This window comes from Homo sapiens, chromosome 2 (genome assembly GCF_000001405.40).
Source record: "Homo sapiens chromosome 2, GRCh38.p14 Primary Assembly".
NCBI classification, from domain to species: Eukaryota; Metazoa; Chordata; class Mammalia; order Primates; family Hominidae; genus Homo; species Homo sapiens.
In genome coordinates, this window is record NC_000002.12 from 128,678,344 (window position 1) to 128,696,645 (window position 18,302).

At 48.8% G+C, this 18,302-nt stretch overlaps 3 annotated features.

Annotated features, from left to right (window-relative positions):
- Positions 3,843-4,367: an enhancer, noted in NCBI's record as "H3K4me1 hESC enhancer chr2:129439760-129440284 (GRCh37/hg19 assembly coordinates)". NCBI's record gives its function as "activates a minimal SCP1, AML or CMV promoter by ChIP-STARR-seq in primed H9 embryonic stem cells {active_cell/tissue: H9 hESC(primed)}" and the evidence as "EXISTENCE:reporter gene assay evidence [ECO:0000049][PMID:30033119]".
- Positions 12,170-12,962: an enhancer, noted in NCBI's record as "H3K4me1 hESC enhancer chr2:129448087-129448879 (GRCh37/hg19 assembly coordinates)". NCBI's record gives its function as "activates a minimal SCP1, AML or CMV promoter by ChIP-STARR-seq in primed H9 embryonic stem cells {active_cell/tissue: H9 hESC(primed)}" and the evidence as "EXISTENCE:reporter gene assay evidence [ECO:0000049][PMID:30033119]".
- Positions 14,639-14,812: a silencer, noted in NCBI's record as "fragment chr2:129450556-129450729 (GRCh37/hg19 assembly coordinates)". NCBI's record gives its function as "represses an EF-1alpha promoter that drives an FKBP-Casp9 reporter gene in an ReSE screen in HepG2 liver carcinoma cells {active_cell/tissue: HepG2}" and the evidence as "EXISTENCE:reporter gene assay evidence [ECO:0000049][PMID:32094911]".

Sequence of the window (18,302 nt, forward strand, 5' to 3'; positions counted from 1 at the left end):
CCTCATGATCTGCCCTCTTTGGCATCCCAAAGTGCTGGGATTACAGGCTGAGCCACCGCACCCAGCCATGTCTACTCTTTTTCAGTTTGCATAATGCTTTTGAAATCCACTCATGTTGTTTCTATTACACTATTCAATGGAGCAAGGATAGGTGCTGGAGAAATTGGGCATCTATGGGGGAAAAAACAACCTAGAATCAAAATTAGCTCAAAAAGGACCATAGAATTAAAAGTAAAATGTAAAACTATAAAACCTGTAGAAGAAGATAACAGAAGAGAAAATCTCTGGGACCTTGGACTTGGTGAAGAGTTGTTAGAGTTAACACCTAAAGTGTTTTCTTGAAATAAAAATATTGATCATTGGACTGCATAAAAATTAAAAACGTTTGCTCTGTGTCAAGTCTTGTTAAGGAGGATGAAAAGACAGGCTACAGTCTGAGAAAAGATATTTACACATCACATACCTGACAAAGGATTCGTCTCTAGAATACCTGAAGAATTTTCAAACCCAACATTAAAAAAGCACAATCCAACTACAATATAGGCAAAAAATACGAAAAGACATTTTACCAAAGAGGATGCATAGATGGCCAATAAGCACATGAAAAGATGTTCAGCATTATTAGCTACTAGGAAATGCAATTTAAGATCATGATGATGATCTTATTTTTCATCTGTTTAATTTCTTATTTACATTTTGCTATTGGAACAGCTAAATTAAAAACATAATGACAATACCAAATGGTGATGAGGAAGTGAAGAAACTGGGTCTCTTACAATTGCTGGTTGGAATGGAAAATGGCACAGCCATTCTGGAAAATAGTTTGGCGGTTTCTTAAAAAAACTACATAGAATTTACCCAGCAATAATTTTGGACATTTATTCCAGATAAATTAAAAAATTATGCTCACACAAAAATCTGTACACAGTGTTCAAACCAGCTTTACTTGTGATGGCCAAAAACTGGAAATAACCAACAGGTTCCTTAATAGGTGAAGAGTTAAACAAACTGTGGTACATCCACTCCATGCAATGATTCGGCAATGCTAAGGAACTGACTGCTGAGACACTCCACAACTCTGATGGATCTTAAGGATATTGGGCTCAGTGAATCGAGCCAGTCTCAAAAGGTTACACACTGTGTGACTCCATGTATTAAACATTCTCAAAATGATAAAGTTATAGAGTTTTTTTTTTTCTTTTTTTGAGATGGAGTTACGCTCTTGTTGCCCAGGCTGGAGTGCAGTGGCATGATCTCGGCTCATTTCAATCTCCGCCTCCTGGGTTCGAGCGGTTCTCCTGCCTCAGCCTCCGGAGTAGCTGGGATTACAGGCATGCACCACCACGCCTGGCTAATTTTTGTGTTTTTCGTAGAGACGGGGTTTTGCCATGTTGGCCAGGCTGGTCTCAAGCTCCTGACCTCAGGTGATCTGCCCGCCTTGGCCTCCCAAAGTGGTGGGATTACAGGCATGAGCCACCACGCCTGGCCAAGTTATAGAGATTGAAATGAAATTCTCACTGCCAGGGTTGAGGGATATTGGGGCGGGTGTGGGCGCGACTGTTTCATAAGGGAGAGCTTTGTGGGGACGGAGCGGTTCTGTGTCTCGAGTGTGGTGGTTGATGCCTGAGCACATATGTGTGATAAAAGGCACAGAGCTATACACACACTTTATAGTAATGTCAGTTTCCTGGTTTTGACATTGCACTATCCTACGAAAAATGTTACTTTTATAGGAAACTGAATGAAGGGTACAGGGGACCTCTTTGTCCCCTGAAACTTCCTGTGAATCTGAAATTATTTTAAACATAAAAAATTTAACAATGGAAAAAGAAAACAAAGGCTCTGAGTAAAACAACTGGGATCTCTCCCCAGTACAGTGCTAACCAAGCCAGGAGAAAGCCAGAGGAAGAGAAAGCTCACAAAGTCCGGGGGTTTTCTCTTTCTTTCCTTTCCTTCCTTTTTCCCTCCTTTTTCCCTCCTTTCTTCCTCTCTCCCTCCCTCCCTCCCCCCTCTCTTTCTTCCTTTCTTTCTCTCTCTCTTTCCTTCTTTCCTTCCTTCCCTTCCCTTCCCCTTCCTTCCTTCTTCCCTCCCTCCCTCCCTCCCTCCTTCCTTTCTTACTTTCTTTCTTTCTTTCTTTCTTTCTTTTTTTCTTTCTCTGTTTTTTTCTTTCTCTATCTTTCTTTCTTTCTCTTTCTTTCTTTTTCTTTCTCTGTTTCTTTCTTTCTTTCCTTCTTTCTTTCTGACGGAGTCTTGCTCTGTCACCCAGGCTGGAATGCAGTGGCGCCATCTCGGCTCACTGCAAACTCCACGTCCTGGGTTCAAACGATTTTCCTGCCTCAGCTTCTGGAGTAGCTGGGATTACAGGCACCTGCCACTGCACCTGGCTAATTTTTGTATTTTTAGTAGAGACAGGGTTTCACCATGTTGGCCAGGCTGGTCTCGAACTTCTGACCTTGTGATCCACCTGCCTTGGCCTCCCAAAGTGCAAGGATTACAGGCGTGAGCCACCACGCCCAGCTGGGGTTTTCTTTTAATTGGAAGCATTGTGAAAATTGACAAAGGATGATTGTAAAAAGTAAAACAGAGCTTCCTCTTCAAAGACTTTCTTCTCCGTCTAATTAGGGATAAATAGTAACTTCTCTTAAATGCAAATTTATTCAAAGACTTGTGCTAACATTCTTAAATATCTGCTAGCCCTTTATGTTCTTTATGTTCTTAGCTCCCATAATTTAGCCTAAGTGTTTGCCCTGGCATGCTTCTACTGGTCCAAGAAAGCATTAGGTCATAGCCTGTTCCTCTTCCTTATTTGAAGGTGTTTTTACCTTTCTTAGCATTCCACAAGTTACTTTCTCCTTCCTTTGTTCTCCTCTACCTTTGCCTCTTTAAAAAAGTTCTAAGTTACTACCAATTGGGACAAATACAGAAAGTGAGGTCCCCTTCCAGCCAATGGAAACCGGACACAGCAGTAGGGTGGACACGTCAGGTTATAAATGACCCTGTCTCCTTTGTTCGGCGTACTCTCGGGGCAAAACTGCTGGCGAGTGTACCTTTCTGCAGAAAGTAAAAATGGCCTTTTTTTTTATGTTCAAGTGCTATTAATTTATGGCACCGGAGAACAAGCATTTCAAACAATGATGTAAGCACAGCAGTAAGGACTCCCACCTACAGGTGGAGGAAAGGCTCTGGGAGCTCAGGCATGAGCTGAGAAAACAAACAAGGAGAATGGGAAGGAAGGGGAAACTCGAGACGGCCCACATTTCAAAGATCAGTGTAGCTTGAGTCTGCATACACAGGTAAAATACGCGAGCTCCAGGTGGAGGTGCAGGGATGCTGAGGGCAGCAGGGAGACATGGGAGCTCCAGCAGTGTAGCTTCCAGGGTGCTGCTGGCCACACATGCCCTGTCCTAGGACTCACGCAGCACCTCCTATAGGCCCTGGCATTGATTGCAGTGTGAAGGGACCCCTGAAACCTCACTGGTCAGAGGTAACCAAGGGCAAGGTTGGTCTCAATGTGTGAAGTCTCTGGATAATAAATTCATTTAAGAATGCTGTGCTTTGCCCTTTGGAGAACATAATTTACATAAAAAAGAGGCTTGCAGAGTCACCCAAGAGGGAAGAAGTAATGAATGGATAAAAAGTAGATTTAACTTGTTAAAAAGGCATGATGGGTTCTGAGATATACATTTACTGCAATCATGTAAAGAGATATGTCTAAAGTTTCTCTTAAAAAGGTCACAGTCATGAAAGGTTAAATGTTCCCATTTCTGTCTTTCTGCATGTGGTTTAGTATGTAATTGCACTCTTTTTAAGAAAGGAATCTGCAGCACCATATTATCATTCATTCATGCCACAAACAGTTATTGTGAAACACCACACTCGATCCTGGGATGCAGGAGGGAACCAATGACTCTGAATTCCACCTTCACAGATGTGTCACGCCAGTGTGGACCTGACACAAAACAAAGACACAAAACAAGCGGTTCAATTCAAATCTTGAACACTATTACTAGGGGAAGAAAGACAGGTTTGAAACTGGCTGAAGTCGGGGAGGACTTCCATGAGGAAGTGACACTGAGATGGAACCTGGAGGGAGGGGTCTGGCCCCAGGGTCTTGCTGTGCAGAGAGGGGGTGGCGCGCCCTCCTCACACGCAGAGAGATTATGATGGAACCCTATTAGTCAGGGCTCTTGATTGCATGCAAGAGAAACAGGCTGGCTGTTTCAGACAGGAAAGGGATTTATTTCAAAGATAGGACAGGCTTGAAAAATCACCAGGAGTGCTGGAGAACAAGGTTTGGTAGATGAGCAGGGATGAGGGAGGCGGCAGGACACACCAGGGCCCAGCAGCACCACACAAAGACCCTGTCCTGGGAGCTGGGCCCTCTGCTTGCCCTGTGGTCACTGGCTCCCAACTCCAAGTCAGTGCTCTGTTTCTGATAGGCCATGGTGGCTGTGTAGACCCAGAGCAAGCAGGTCCCTGTAAGGGAGGAGACCACCCCTCATATTGTCTTACGCCCAATTTGTGTCTCCAAAGAAAAAAGAAGTAAAAACTAAAAGGCATAAATGAAATCCCCAAGCAGACAGCCCGGCACCACACCCTGGGCCTGGTAAAGATCAACAGCTGACCTAATCGGTTATTTGCATAAAAAAGCACTGTGAAGATCCCTGAACTGTCCTGTTCTGTTCCGTTCTAATTACCAGTATATGCATCCCCCAGTCACGTACCCCCTGCTTGCTCAATTGATCAAGACCCTCTCACGTGGACCCCCGTAGAGTTGCGAGCCCTTAAAAGGGACAGGAATTGCTCACTGGGAGAGCTCGGCTCTTGAGACAGGAGTCTTGCCGATGCTCCCGGCCGAATAAACCCCTTCTTTCTTTAACTTGGTGTCTGAGAGGTTTTGTCTGCGGCTCTTCTTGCTACATCTGGATCTTTAATCCTGCACTAGAGACATATTCAGCCTCTCAACCCGCTGCAAAAGTAGGCGTTCGGATGCTGCAGGGCAGCCTCCATCCCCAAATGACACATTTCCACTCCACGTGAATGTGTAAATTTGTGGCTGGGCGGAGGCAGGAGCCAGGTGTGTATGGCTTCGGGACACAGGCTCTTTCTGGTGCCCTACAGAGCAAAGTGGCCGAATGAGCTTGTGCACAGTGAGAAAACCCATCTAATCTTGCATTGTAAAGTATACTCATTACATGTATTGAATGCAGAATTAGTTCACCTAATGCATTAAAAAGCCTTTTAAAACGTCGTAGTTATCATTGATTATGTGGTGAGGAAATGGCCCTGCTGCAGTGAGATCCAACATTTCTGGAGGGCAGCTTGAGAGTCTGTATCCAAAGCTTTGAAAATTAAGCCCTTGACTCAGCAGCTCTCTGCCTGGGGATATAGCCTAAGGAAAGGATTAGGGATGAAGACACAGATTTACATTAAAAATACAGGACCCAGCAAGGCCGGGCTCTGTGGCTCACACCTGTAATCCCAGCACTTTGGGAGGCAGAGGCGGGTGGATCACGAGGTCAGGAGATCAAGACCACGGTGAAACCCCATCTCTACTAAAAATACAGTGGTGGGCACCTGCAGTCCCAGCTACGTGGGAGGCTGAGGCAGGAGAATGGCGTGAACCCAGAAGGCGGAGCTTGCAGTGAGCCGAGATCCCACCACTACACTCCAGCCTGGGCGACAGAGCGAGACTCTGTCTCAAAAAAAAAAATAAAATAAAATAAAGGACCCAGCAGCCTATGTGTGGAAAAGGTTGTATCAGTTAGAATTCTTGCATTTGGGAAAGGCTCAGTGGCTCACGCCTGTAATCCCAGCACTTTGGGAGGCCGAGGTGGGCAGATCACTTGAGGTCAGGAGTTTGAGACCAGCCTGGGCAACATGGTGAAACACCGTCTCTACTACAAATACAAAAATTAGCCGAGCGTGGTGGTGTGTGCCTGTGATCCCAGCTACTCAGGAGGCTGAGGCAGGAGCATCACGTGAACCCAGGAGGCAGAGGTTGCAGTGAGCTAAGATCGTGCCACTGCACTCCAGCCTGGGTGACAGAGCGAAACTCCATCTCAATGAAAAAAAAGAAAAATTCATGCATTTGGTGAAAAGCCTGACCCAATTTGTTTAGGCAAAAAGACTCACCTCCCTGTGCCTCCTGGGGTAGGTGGGGCTCCAACAAAGTTACCAGGCTCTGTTGTTAGGTTTACACTTCTCAGGGCCCCTTTCTATGTGTTGATTCTGATGTTAGGCAAGATTTCTTATGGATGAGAGCAGTCCTAGGGTTCACGAAGAGTGAGAACCTCTGCCCCAGCATCCTAAGAAATGGGCCCAGGGCCCCCTCTGATGGGACAGGCTGAGTCACTTCACCACCTGGACCAAGCCCCAGTCCAGAGGCTGCTGTATGTTGGCTCAGGCCAGGCCTGGGGGACCCCCACCAGGGAGGGGTACAACTCCTAATAAAATTGGGCTGTTGAAGAAAGGAACAGTGAATTATATGGATCAAATTAAACTGTCAAAAGACAGGGAGAAAACACACTTCAGTGTTTGCAGCAGAAAACTCTTGACGTGAGGTTGATTGACCTTTATTTTCCACTTTATATTTTTTATGTAATCAGAAAAATTTCCTTTAATAATCTTGCACGATCAGGGAAGGTGGTGGCATGGCAGACATGGTGGTTGCCCCTGTATCTTGCCTGTCTCCATTGGGCTGAAGGGTAGAGACTGGTTCAGGCCACCTGTGTCCCTCTCCCCTAGGCCTGAGCCAGTTCCCACATGGCACTCCCTTGTCCACAGGGGGTGACCAGGCAGCATCAAGATCAGGAGTTGAGTTTTGTGGCTAAGGGAGGGGCTTCCCTATGGCCCTGTGTGCTGGTGGCCCTCTTGCAACTGGGAAGGAAGCTAGTCTGAGGAAACAGCCAGCACTGGGAGGGCTGTAGTGGGGAAGACAGAAATCTGATTTAATGATGCTGAACCCATGCTTCCCCATAGACCTTTCCAGTGTGAGAGACAAGAGATATTTTATTACTTGAGCCAGCTTGAATTGCACTTCCTATTAATCGAAACTGATGTAAATGTGCATTAATTTTGGGCCTACAGTCACCTCTAATGAATCTGAGAACAAGATTGGCCTGAGATGTGAAGAGAGAGAAAGGCGTCTTCTGCTGGCCTGTTGACTTGACTGAGGATGTGAAGCAGGAGGAAGGGCTGACCTCTCCAGGAGGGCCTTCCTCTCTCAGCCAGGGGTCCTTGGGAAGAGGCAGCCCCACCCAAGACAGAAGGGAATCATGACTGCCGTCAAACATGAACTGGCTAGTTCTGGGGCCTGCAGCAAGGATCTTACCCTCTATTTGCCTGAGTGTCCTAACTTCTAAAGTGAAGAGATTGAAAAAAAAATTTGAGCTGGATATAATGTGAAATATAACAAAGTTTTGTTTGGTGAAAACCAAAGCAAAATAGCCCCAGCAGGGTTTGAAAGCCAACCTCGATGGACCTGACTCTGTGCCGTGGACAGGCCCAGCTGGGCTTTCTCTGACTTCATCTCCAAAGGCCAAACCTCCCTCACAGCAGGGTCAGTTTTGGTCCTGAAAGACTGAGTTAAGAAGAACGTTAAAGGCGTGTCTAGCAAAGTACTCTGTAAGAAGAGAGCTACCCCAGAAGTAGCAGCCGCAGAGAAGAGTGACCGTGCACGTGTGGGCAGTGCTGAGATGGGCCAGCCCCTGATGGCCCAAGGTTCTGCTGATGTTCCCACCACCTGCAGCCCCCAAACATAGTTTTATACTTGCTTACTCGCTTTGCTGTCCCTGGATCAGACTGGACCCATGGAGGGCGTGTGCACCACTATAACCCCAGACCTTGCAGGGTGCCTGGGACAGAAAGTCAGCTAAATGACAGGCAGAACTGAGTTAAGTTGTGCCATCCCCATCCTGGGGCTCCTTCCCCTGCCCATGATGGGGGACAGGCAGGTGGGTACCCATAGGCTTATCACCGCAGCCTGGGTGCTATGACACCCTCATTGATGGAGCCCCTCTGAGCCACACCCTCTCTGCTCCCGGAGAGTGCTGCTGGGTGGATTGGGTTTACATTTCAACCTGACCATAAAACCGCACATTAGGCAAGGTATCCAATCAATTAGTTCTAATTAATCATGAACAAAATGTGTCTCTAGCTGTAGGATGTGGTTTCTTTCCCATTGGCTATAATTAGAAAAGTTTGGTGACTGTACAAAAATAAAATGTCTATGGGAAACGGAGAGGGGAAGAAGGAAGAAAAACAAGTGGTTAGAAGCAGTGTTGAATGGTAACTAGAAAGCTGTAACCACTTCCCATAGACGTGGGGAAGCTTCCTTGAAGCTGAGTGCAGCTGCTCTGGGCAAGCAGAGACGTTTCTGTCCCCCGCCTGCATGTCCCAACCCATTCATTTCTTTCTTTCTTTCCCTTTTTTTTTTTTTTTTTGTATTTTTAGTAGATACAGGGTTTCACCATGTTGGCCAGGCTGGTCTTGAACTTCTGACCTTCAGTGATCCACCCACCTTGGCCTCCCAAAATGCTGGGATTATGGCCATGAGCTACCACACCCAGTCTCCCATCCATTTGTTTCTACCGGGCTTTCTCTGTGGGCCTCACAGGCAAAGCTAGCCAGCAACAATCCTCCCCTTCCAGGAGACTGGGGTGGGACTGAGTGGTTATAACATGACCTTGTGCCCGGAGAGCTCTGGCCACAGGGCTGCTGCCACTGCCATGGGAGCGCAGAGCTAAGCTGCTGGGTTAGAGCCCTGCCCAGGACAGGGAGGCTGATCCCAGCCAGGGGAGGCTTGGGGGGGTCTCTGAGGGTGTCATTCATCAAGAGAATTGGTCAGTCCCTCCATGGCCTCCTTGACGGTATGTTGTAGAAAAGTAACATCTTCACTGCCAGGCTTTGTCATTGATAAATTAAGTCTGACCCACCCCCGTCTAGTGTCTGTGAGGTTTAGGGCACTGTGTTGGGATAAGCATCCAGTGTTGGGCACCAGAGACCACTGGGGAAGATGCCAGTCAGGGCTAGCAGATGTGAAGTGTGTGAGTGGTATGAAGTGGGCCAGGGCAGGGAAAAGTGAGTTAGAGCTGATCTCCCCTACTTTCCAGCCGTGTGAGCTCAACCCTCCACACTCATGCTGCTCATCTGTACAGGGAAGCTGTGGGTCCTGATGTCACAGGGATGGTGGATGCTGTCAGGGCATGGCTCTCCAGGGGCTCCATGAGTGGGAGCTGATAGCATGATTGTGATTCTATAGCAAGGGTGCCAAGGGATCTCCCTTTATACCCTCAGCAGGGAATTGGATCTCAGCCTGGAAAGTTTCTTGATGCTTCTTCTTCATGAAAAGAGTGTCGGGAGCCATGCTGCCTGGGCCACCATGTTGCTGGGTGCAGCAGGTGGCTGCCGTGCTCCGTGGGGTGGGACGGTGTAGCCTGCTCAGCAAGGGAGCCAGTGAAAGCTCCATGACTGAAGGGACCCTCTAGCAGGTGCACAGCTGACTGGGGGCACTGCACAAGGACCTCAAGGGCCAGCTCAGCCTTAGCAACAAAAACAGCAAAACCCTGACTGGCAGAACAATGTTGAGCCAACCATGGATACCTGGAAGAAATCTCATTTAGTTGTGGTGTATAATTCCTTTTATATGGTGTTGGATTTGTTCTGCTAATATTTTCTCAGATATATTTGTGCTTATGCTCAAAAAATCAGATATATTGGTTTGCAGTTATCTTTTTTTTTTTTTTTTTTTTTTTTTGAGGTGGAGTTTCACTCTTGTTGCCCAGGCTGGAGTGCAAAGGCACGATCTCAGCTCACTGCAATCTCCATCTCCCAGGTTCAAGCGATTCTCCTGCCTCAGCCTCCCGATTAGCTGGGATTACAGGCATGCACCACCACACCCGGCTAATTTTTGTATTTTTAGTAGAGATGGGGTTTCACCTTGTTGGTCAGGCTGGTCTCAAACTCTTGATCTCTGGTGATCCACCTACCTCGGCCTCCCCAAGTGCTGGGATTACAGGCATGAGCCACCATGCCCAGCCCTGCAGTTATCTTTTTTTGTAATGTCACATCTCATTTCGTTGTTAGGGTAATGCTGGCCTCATAGATCACTTGGGAAGTACTCTGTCTGCTTCTATTATCTGGAAGAGATTGTGATGAATGACAATCAATATTTTTTTTTTTTGCATAAATGTTGGTAGAATTTACCAGTAAGGACATGTGGGCCTAGTACTTTTTTATGAGGTTATTAATAATTGACTCAAATTACTTACTAGATATAGGGTTATTCAGGTCATGACATTCTCCTTGGGTGGGTTGGTCTTTGAAGGAGTTGGTGTACAGTTTGGCTTTTTCTCCTCTGCACCCTATACCTTTCACTGGCTGCGATATTTCCAATCTACATCCCAGAAGCTGTGGCTCTTATGGACCAATGTTTTCTCCCTCTCCGGTGATCCAGGAAGCCTGGGGAGGATTGAGGGGGAGGAATTCCCTTCCCCAACATAGATAAGGTCCTGGCAAAGTCCTTTCTCCTGAAGAATAGACCTTTATTATGGGGGAGGCCCTGGGCGGATGTCACAATGATTGCTCTTCCCATCTCCCTGCCAGAGCCAGGAGGGGAATCCTTCTAGAATCTTCACCATGAGGACATTGTGGCGTCCCTAGATATAAAGTCCACACATTTTAGGGACTCTTAACTCAGTGGCCCCAGTAGTTTCTCCCTCTTATGCTAGTCCACACTCAGCCTCCAGCAATTTGTCAAAACTACCATTGAAGTGTTCCTCCCAGTTAATGACCTAGCAGCTTCTGTTCCAGATAAGCAGGTCTCAGTTCTGTCTCTGGGGGCACCTGACTCTTTGGATTTTGAGGTATCTATTTGTTTTGCAACCTCAGTTTCATGATGGGTCCTAGGAAAGTTGCTGATTTTCAGTTTTCCAGCTTTCTGTTGCTATAAGGACAAGAGTGATGACTGCAAAGCTCTTCACATGCTGGAACTGAAACCAAAAGTCTCTAGTCCTTTTGTTTTGAAATGAACCTCTTGGGGTCTTGCAGAAGGGCTTGGTGGGCCCATGTTGGAGGCTGCAGTGGGAAGTCAGGGGACTGGAACTCTGAGCCTGCAGACCAGCTCTGCTCACCTCAATACGCCAGGCTGTGAGCTGGCTTTGAACACCTAACCCTCAGGCTTTAATTTCTTATGCATTTATCACATGACTGGAGATATCCAGGCCCTCTCATCCTCAAAATTAATGTGTAAATCGGCTCTGGAATTGCAAAAGAGACCCAGTGTATGGCAGATGCACCTGACAGCAATAATTGAAACATACTCAGAGAATGATTCTATGGTCTAAGAAGAATGTGTATTCAGAGTTCCTAGCCAGGGAATCCAGAGTGGCCAACCCAGGGATTCACTCCTTTCCCATGAAGGATATCTGAACCTCTGTCCCTTTCCTTGAAACACAGGACATGCAAGAAATAGAGGCTCTTTGTAAATGGTGGTTGCTAGGCGGAGGGTGCTAAGTGGAAATGCTGTATAAACTGCGTGCTTCTTACAACTGCTAGTGGTTCTCCTGCCCAGCCCACCACCACTGGATTGCTCCCGTATGTAAGTCCTCAATAAAACTTATGTCTACTTCACTGGGAGAGAAGTGAGGAGGTCAGAGGGGTCAGCCCAGCCCTGGGCACCTGGGCCCGTTAGCCTCGCCAGTGACTTAGAGGCTTTCTTCTAAAGTGAAACCGAGGCTTCTGAAGAGGGGGAGTGGAGGAGTGGTGTGCTCAGATGTGTGTTTTGGAAGGGGCACGGCAGTGTGGGGAGTGCAAGGTACGAGCCTGGGAGGCCAGCTAGGCTCCAGATGTGGTCCAGGCTGGTGACGAGATGAAGACTACTTATCTGCACCCGGAGCTGGGGGGCAGAGAGGGGAGAGAGGGGCGGATGCGTGGAGAACTCCCCTCCTACTTCCGGTGGCTCACCGCTGCCAGTGAGCGTCTGCCTGGCCTTCCACCCCCTCAGTGCGGCCACTCTCCGTGCCTTCATGGGCTTTGGGTAGAGTCACAGCACTAACCACCACTTGACACTGTATCCCATCAGTCATCTCACATTGCAGCACATTTTCAGCAGCTCTGATTTGCTCAAGGGACCCCACGTGCCAGGTTATGACCAAGGAAGAGCCCTGGACATCACAGAGTGAATGGAACCCCACCGCACCCACTCCACCCCGTTCCCCACCTACCCCACCCCGTCCCCACCTGTCCCTGTGCCGGTCGGGCAGCGCATGCGCCTATGGCCTCGGGCAGCGCATGCGCCTATGGCCTCTCCCTTGCTCTGGCTCCTCCTCGCCCCACCCCCTTCTTGCTCCTTCATGGCTGGGGCACGGGAGAGGGATCAGAAGGAGACAGGGGCTTCTTGCTGTGCTGGCTCTCTGGGCAATTCTCTCTTGTCAAAGCTCTTGGTCACTAAAGCGTCCTAGCTCCTCTATGGCACTCAGGGATGGAAACTCCTGGGAGGGTCTCCTGCACCACCCCGGGCCCTAGAACAGAAGCCCCACCTCAGGGTCTTCTCACCTGGGGACGCAGCCCTCTTGAGAAGCAGGGAATTAACATGATGGAGCCCAGACCATTCAGGGCTCCACAAACCTTATCACGAACCACCCTGCCAGGAAAACACCCGTATTCTTGCCCCACCAGACTCCAGCAGTGCCAGCTCCTCCCTCGTTCCCCCACGTGGTTCCTGTCTTGCCCTCCTCCACATCCAGGGGACGGTTGTCCTACCCTCTCAAGGACTGTTAGGGGCTCTTCTCCTAAGACGGCATGGGGTCCAGAAGTCTCAAAACAGCCCTCACCCAGCTGGGATGCAGCGGCCCTGATAGCAGACAATCCAAACTCTTCACAGCGATTCTCTGGGGACCTCTTATTTGGCCAGGCTTGAGGTACTGAGAAGCCCACAAAACTCTGTAATCGCTAAAGAAATTATTGCTTGTAAGGAGCCTCTGGGCTTGTCTCACGTGGGTTGAAGGTGGGATGTGACCGTCTAAAGCTGTGCAATGTAGAAATACTCGGCAGCCATTGGCCTCAGTATGAAGTTCTTGCCAAAATTCTGAGAAACAGGGATGCAGACCATTGCAAATAAATTTAATTTTTAAATTTCCCACTAGAATTATTAGTCTAGTAAGGGCAGGGGATTGACTCATTCACCTCTATGTTTCTTGTGACTAGAACAGTGTCCAGCACACCGAAGGTAGTCGTATTTTTAAATGACTAAATGCATATGTCTCAACTTGGTAACTCTGAAAAGAGGGCTAGCAGAAGAGATTGGCAGCCACTCACACGGACTTCTGGCTCCTGCTGCTCACCACATTGTTTTGTAAACGTCCATTTAGAAAGTGGCTTAGCTCTGGGGGATAGATGAGCAGCAGGCTGATGTCTGGCATGTAGTTAAAGGGCTGATTTAGGTCTGGGCGTGAGTGAGCAGAAGACTCAGGCTTTGAGTGACAGTGAAGGGGAGATGTGGATCTAGGATAAGTTTGGGATTCAGACTCAGGTCTGGGTGTGGGTGAGCGGCACACTCAATTCTTGTGTGTCAGGAAAGAGCAGACTCAGACTTGCTTAGCTATTGCACGTAGCTAAGCAGTGCACTGTCGTATGAGCTGAGAGGAGCCTCACTCAGGTCTGCAATTCCAGTGGGAAGCTGTGGATCTCCCTCCAATCTGGGGCTCAGCAGAGGCTTCTTTTAACCTAGTGGGCAGTGTTTTCATTGCTTTTGTTTGTGTTATGCAGGTACAACCTTATTGGGCTAATGGATCTGCACTGGTCCTTACGTTCCACGATTAATTAACCAGAAGCAGAGCCTCGTGATGCCCCCACAAATCCGGTTGCTCATTGTGGTCTTTGTGCCTTCCCTGCTTCCGACAGAGCAGTGCCAGGGCTTGGCTTTTGCCATTTGCCTCTTGGTACCTCCATTTAAATCGGGGACCTCATTCTCCCTATAGCTCCCCACACCTGCACCCTGTCCTCCAGAGAACAGCCACTAATGTGCTTCTAACAGATTCCAATACTCCTCCCATTTGCCTTGGGTGTTAGGAATGTCTTCTGGCCTCTTTAAAAAGATGGAGTTAGGATATAATTGAGAGGTCAATGTCAAGACTGGTGAGGTCTGAGTCTGAGATTTCACTCGACTCAAATATGCTGACAAGTTAGTGTCATGAATGCTGTCAGAAAAAAACAGCCTCCTGGACTGGAGATGAAAGATTATATTTCTCATAGTAAAAGTAGCAGCCGGAGCATCTGCATGGTTTTTTGGTTTCCTTGTCCCCAGGTCCCACGGAGGCGGTGCAATGGGCCCACATGTATGTCATGCAGGCAGTGGGTTTGTGCTGCAGCCGAGGAATCCAGGCCAAGGGCCATCACTTTTGTTTTGGCTTTTTTTGAGATGGAGTCTTGCTCTGTCGCCCAGGCTGGAGTGCAGTGGCATGATCTCAGCTCACTGCAACCTCTGCCTCCCAGGTTCAAGCAATTCTCTTGTCTCAGAATTTTTGTATTTTTAGTAGAGATGGGGTTTCACCGTATTGGTCAGGCTGGTCTTGAACTCCTGACCTCAGGTGATCCACTTACCTTGGCTTCCCAAGGTGCTGGGATTATAGGCGTGAGCCACTGCACCTGGCCTGGGCTGTCACTTTTTGATTAAGTAGCAAACTTCACAGCAGGCAGTGGTCACATGGTAGCCAGTGGTCATGGTGTGCTCGCCCTGACCTACTTAGATGCCACGGAGACTGCTCAGCCTCTGGAGACTGATCGGCCTCTAGAGACTGATCGTCCACACAGTCCAGCACACCAGCAAGACTGTGCGGGGATGTCAGGCCCATGGCAGACTGGCATTCCCAAGGGGCTCAAATTATCAACCCGCTCCAACATTCCTGGCTCCAAAAATCTCCTAAGGACACTGCTGGCTTCTCAGCCTCATTTCACATCCATCACTGCGCTGAATTCCAGTGGCCGTCCTCTCTGACAGGTATAGGTGCTCCCTGGTGCCGACTGGCGCTGGTGCAGTCTGCTGGTGCAGGCCCCTGGGAAGAGTCTGCCCAGCTGATGTGGGTCTTTCCTTTGGTGATCCTGCATCCCCTCCATGCCAGTCCATATTCCTTCCGTTTCCATGGCTGTAAGTTAGTGGCCTGTGATGTTTTTGCTGGTTGGCTTCCCAGTTTTGCCTTTTTAAGGAAATCTAGGAGATTCTGGACTCTTTTCCAGGAGTGGTTAGGTTGGGGCATGAGAAGAATGACGTTCTCTGTCAGAGTAACTCCCTGGCAAGGTTGTTAAAGAGCAGCCCGGAAAGACAGGAGCAGGTGGGAAAAGCCTCAGCAGGTCCAAAAATTCCTAGTGAGTGAAGGGGCTGCAGATGCTCACTGGAGCCTATTTCCCAGCAGACCCAGCATGGCCCTAGAAAAGCAGGCTGCAGGCCATCTACCCTCACCCCTCAGGTCCCCTCAGAGTCGGAGGAAGGTGCCAGGCCTGGCCTTTGGCTCCCGAGGCTCACCACGATGCGGCCAGACAGCTCTGGCTTCTTTCTCCACCTCACTTGCTCTACTGTGGCCACCTGAAACTTCCTTGTGTTTCTGACCTGGCAGGCTGACCCCCGGAGTGCCTCTCCCTGCCAGTGTCCCCTTCTGAAAGAGGCATCCTGCCGCCCGGCTCACACACCTGCCTGCCAGGAGTTTTCCAGCACCTAACTCTGTTTTTCTTCATGGCACCGAGTCCATGTGAAATGTCCTTGTGGGTTTCTTGTTCATTGCCGCTTCCCCCTAGAATGTCAGGCTGTGTGAGCAGAGGCCTGTGCCCTGGAAACCCCGTTAGATAAAGCTGGCCTTTGTGTATGGACTGGCAGTGTGGACAGGCTCAGTGGGTCATGCTGTTTACTTCTTTTTTTCTTTCTTTTTTTTTGAGATGGAGTTTTGCTCTGTCGCCCAGGCTGGAGTGCAGTGGCACGATCTCGGCTCACTGCAACATCCACCTCCAGGGTTCAAGCGATTCTCCTGCCTCAGCCTCCAGAGTAGGTGGGATTACAGGCAGCTGCCACCATGCCCGGCTAATTTTGTACTTTTAGTAGAGAGAGAGTTTCGCCATGTTGGCCAGGCTGGTCTCAAACTCCTGACCTTAGGTGATCCACCTGCCTCAGCCTCCCAAAGTGCTGGGATTACAGGCATGAGCCACCGTGCCCAGCCGCTGTTTACTTTTGCAAGGGTAGTCGAGGCTCCTCCTGACCCGGTGTGTGCTGGCCTCAGGCCTCCCCTGGGGTGATGCTGCCCCGCAGCGTTGCCGTCTGGTCTCTGGCCCCTGCCTGTGGCCATGGCAAACACTTTAGCCCTGACACTCTGCGGTGCTGTGACATGCAGCACCCAGTGGCTGTCGGGCAGCATGTGGGTCTCACAGGGTTTGCCTCATTCATGCGTTCAGAAGTGACTGTACCACAGGTGGCATGCTGGAGTGAAGGAGGCAGACTGCCCCTGCCATCCCAGAGCTTCAGTTGTGGAGAGTGGAAAATACTACAGGGTTAACTCGACAAATCGTTCTTTATGTCCCCTTTTTTTCTTCCACTTGGACCTCTCCCCAGGCATCTAGAAGGTTCCTAGCACGTTCCCTCTGTGGGGCTGCCTGCTCTTGGTAGAACTCCATGCCACAGGCTTTTGGCTTTCACACCTGCTGACCTCCAAAGCGGCCCAAACCCAGCGCCCCATGCACAGAGCATGGGGCCTGAAAGCCGACCTGACTCCTGGATGTGTTCTCAGATGCTACGGGCTGGTCAGGGCTTGATTATTTACTCCTCCCAAATAACATCTGTGTCCTAAGCATGTGGAAAGGACATTGAAATAGAAGTTGGCAAATCAAAATTCAACTCCTAAATCTACTCTCTACCAACTGTGTATCTGTAAGTCTCTCTGAGCCTCACATTTCTTGCCTGAAAAATAGAGCCACTGACATCTCTCCCAAATCCCTTTCCTAGGAACTCTAAGTAGAGAATAAGAGTGTGCTTATAAAGTCACTTTTTCGAACCGCAAATAGTGGTGATTCCTAATCCTTTGGCAGATGGATAGACATACTTCGGGTTTTGCCAGTCTCGCCACCTGTTATGAGTGTGGCTTGATATAAACTCCAGGTTAGAATCCTGGCTTGTTCATAAGGTGAGATTCTTAATCTTGTCAAGTCCTGGTTTCTCATTGGCAGAATAAACATAATTCCAGCAGAACAGATTCACAGTGAAGACAGCTCCTGCACTGTCCATGGCACATGGATACCCTGGATAAAGGTTAGCTCTGCAAATGCACAGGGCTCTTCCCTTATTGCAGTCTCTTTAGGGTTTCATTAAAGATTCCATGTGTTCTTATCCAGGCTTTTGCTAAGGAGGTATCCTCTGTCACTTTCCACCTGGAGGTGGCCTGAGAGCTGGATGGGGAAGAAGACCAAAGCAAATGGCACAGAGGAGAGGCTGCCCGGCCACCCTTGGCTCTGTGGCACCCACTCGCTTCCCAACATGACTCCGACCTTGGGGATGATTCTGCATGACGAGTGGGGCAAGGAACAGTCACATTGGTAAACAGACGACTGAGCAGTGAAAGATGTTTCCAGCAAAGCATTCTGAATACAGTATTTATGGACTCAAGTTGTTCCTGGGATATTTATAGACGGGATGCAAATGTAAAGCATATGGTGTACTCTTCCAGAAATACTCTTCCAATTAGGCTGTGCATGGTGCTCAGCCACACTGCTCTTTCCTCTGAAGATGCTCTTCAGCACATTTGTAGCAAATGTTACTCTAAGTTGCAGAAAACGGGGTGAACACGTGTCTCTCAGGGCACTGTCTCTGATGAAAGGCTGTTTTCTTCTGATGAACACTTTTCTGCCCCAGCTCCAGGGTCCATTCAGGGGTGCTCTGTGGTGAAGCATGTGGTTGATTTTTTCCTTCTCTTCTTGTTGCTGGACATGTGGAGATCACTGTGGAGGCTGTGGCAGGAAACTCCAAGAACAGGTTTTAGAATGATCTGGAAGAAGGGCCCTTTTGTCCCTTACCTTCAGTTTGTATGTGCTGTATTCTGGGGGGAGCCAGTACCAGGATATGCTTGGCACACTGCCTAAAGCTACCCATGCCACTGGGAAAATGCATTCCTTGTTTAGAGCATGGCACTGGAAGCAGGTGTCCAGAACCAGCCACTGATAGAAGGCACATCACATCCTAGGACTGACCATCTCCTCAGAAGCCGTGCAGCGTAGTGTGTGGTCAGTGTGAGCAGCACAAGCGTGGACTCTGCCCTGAGCAGAGACAG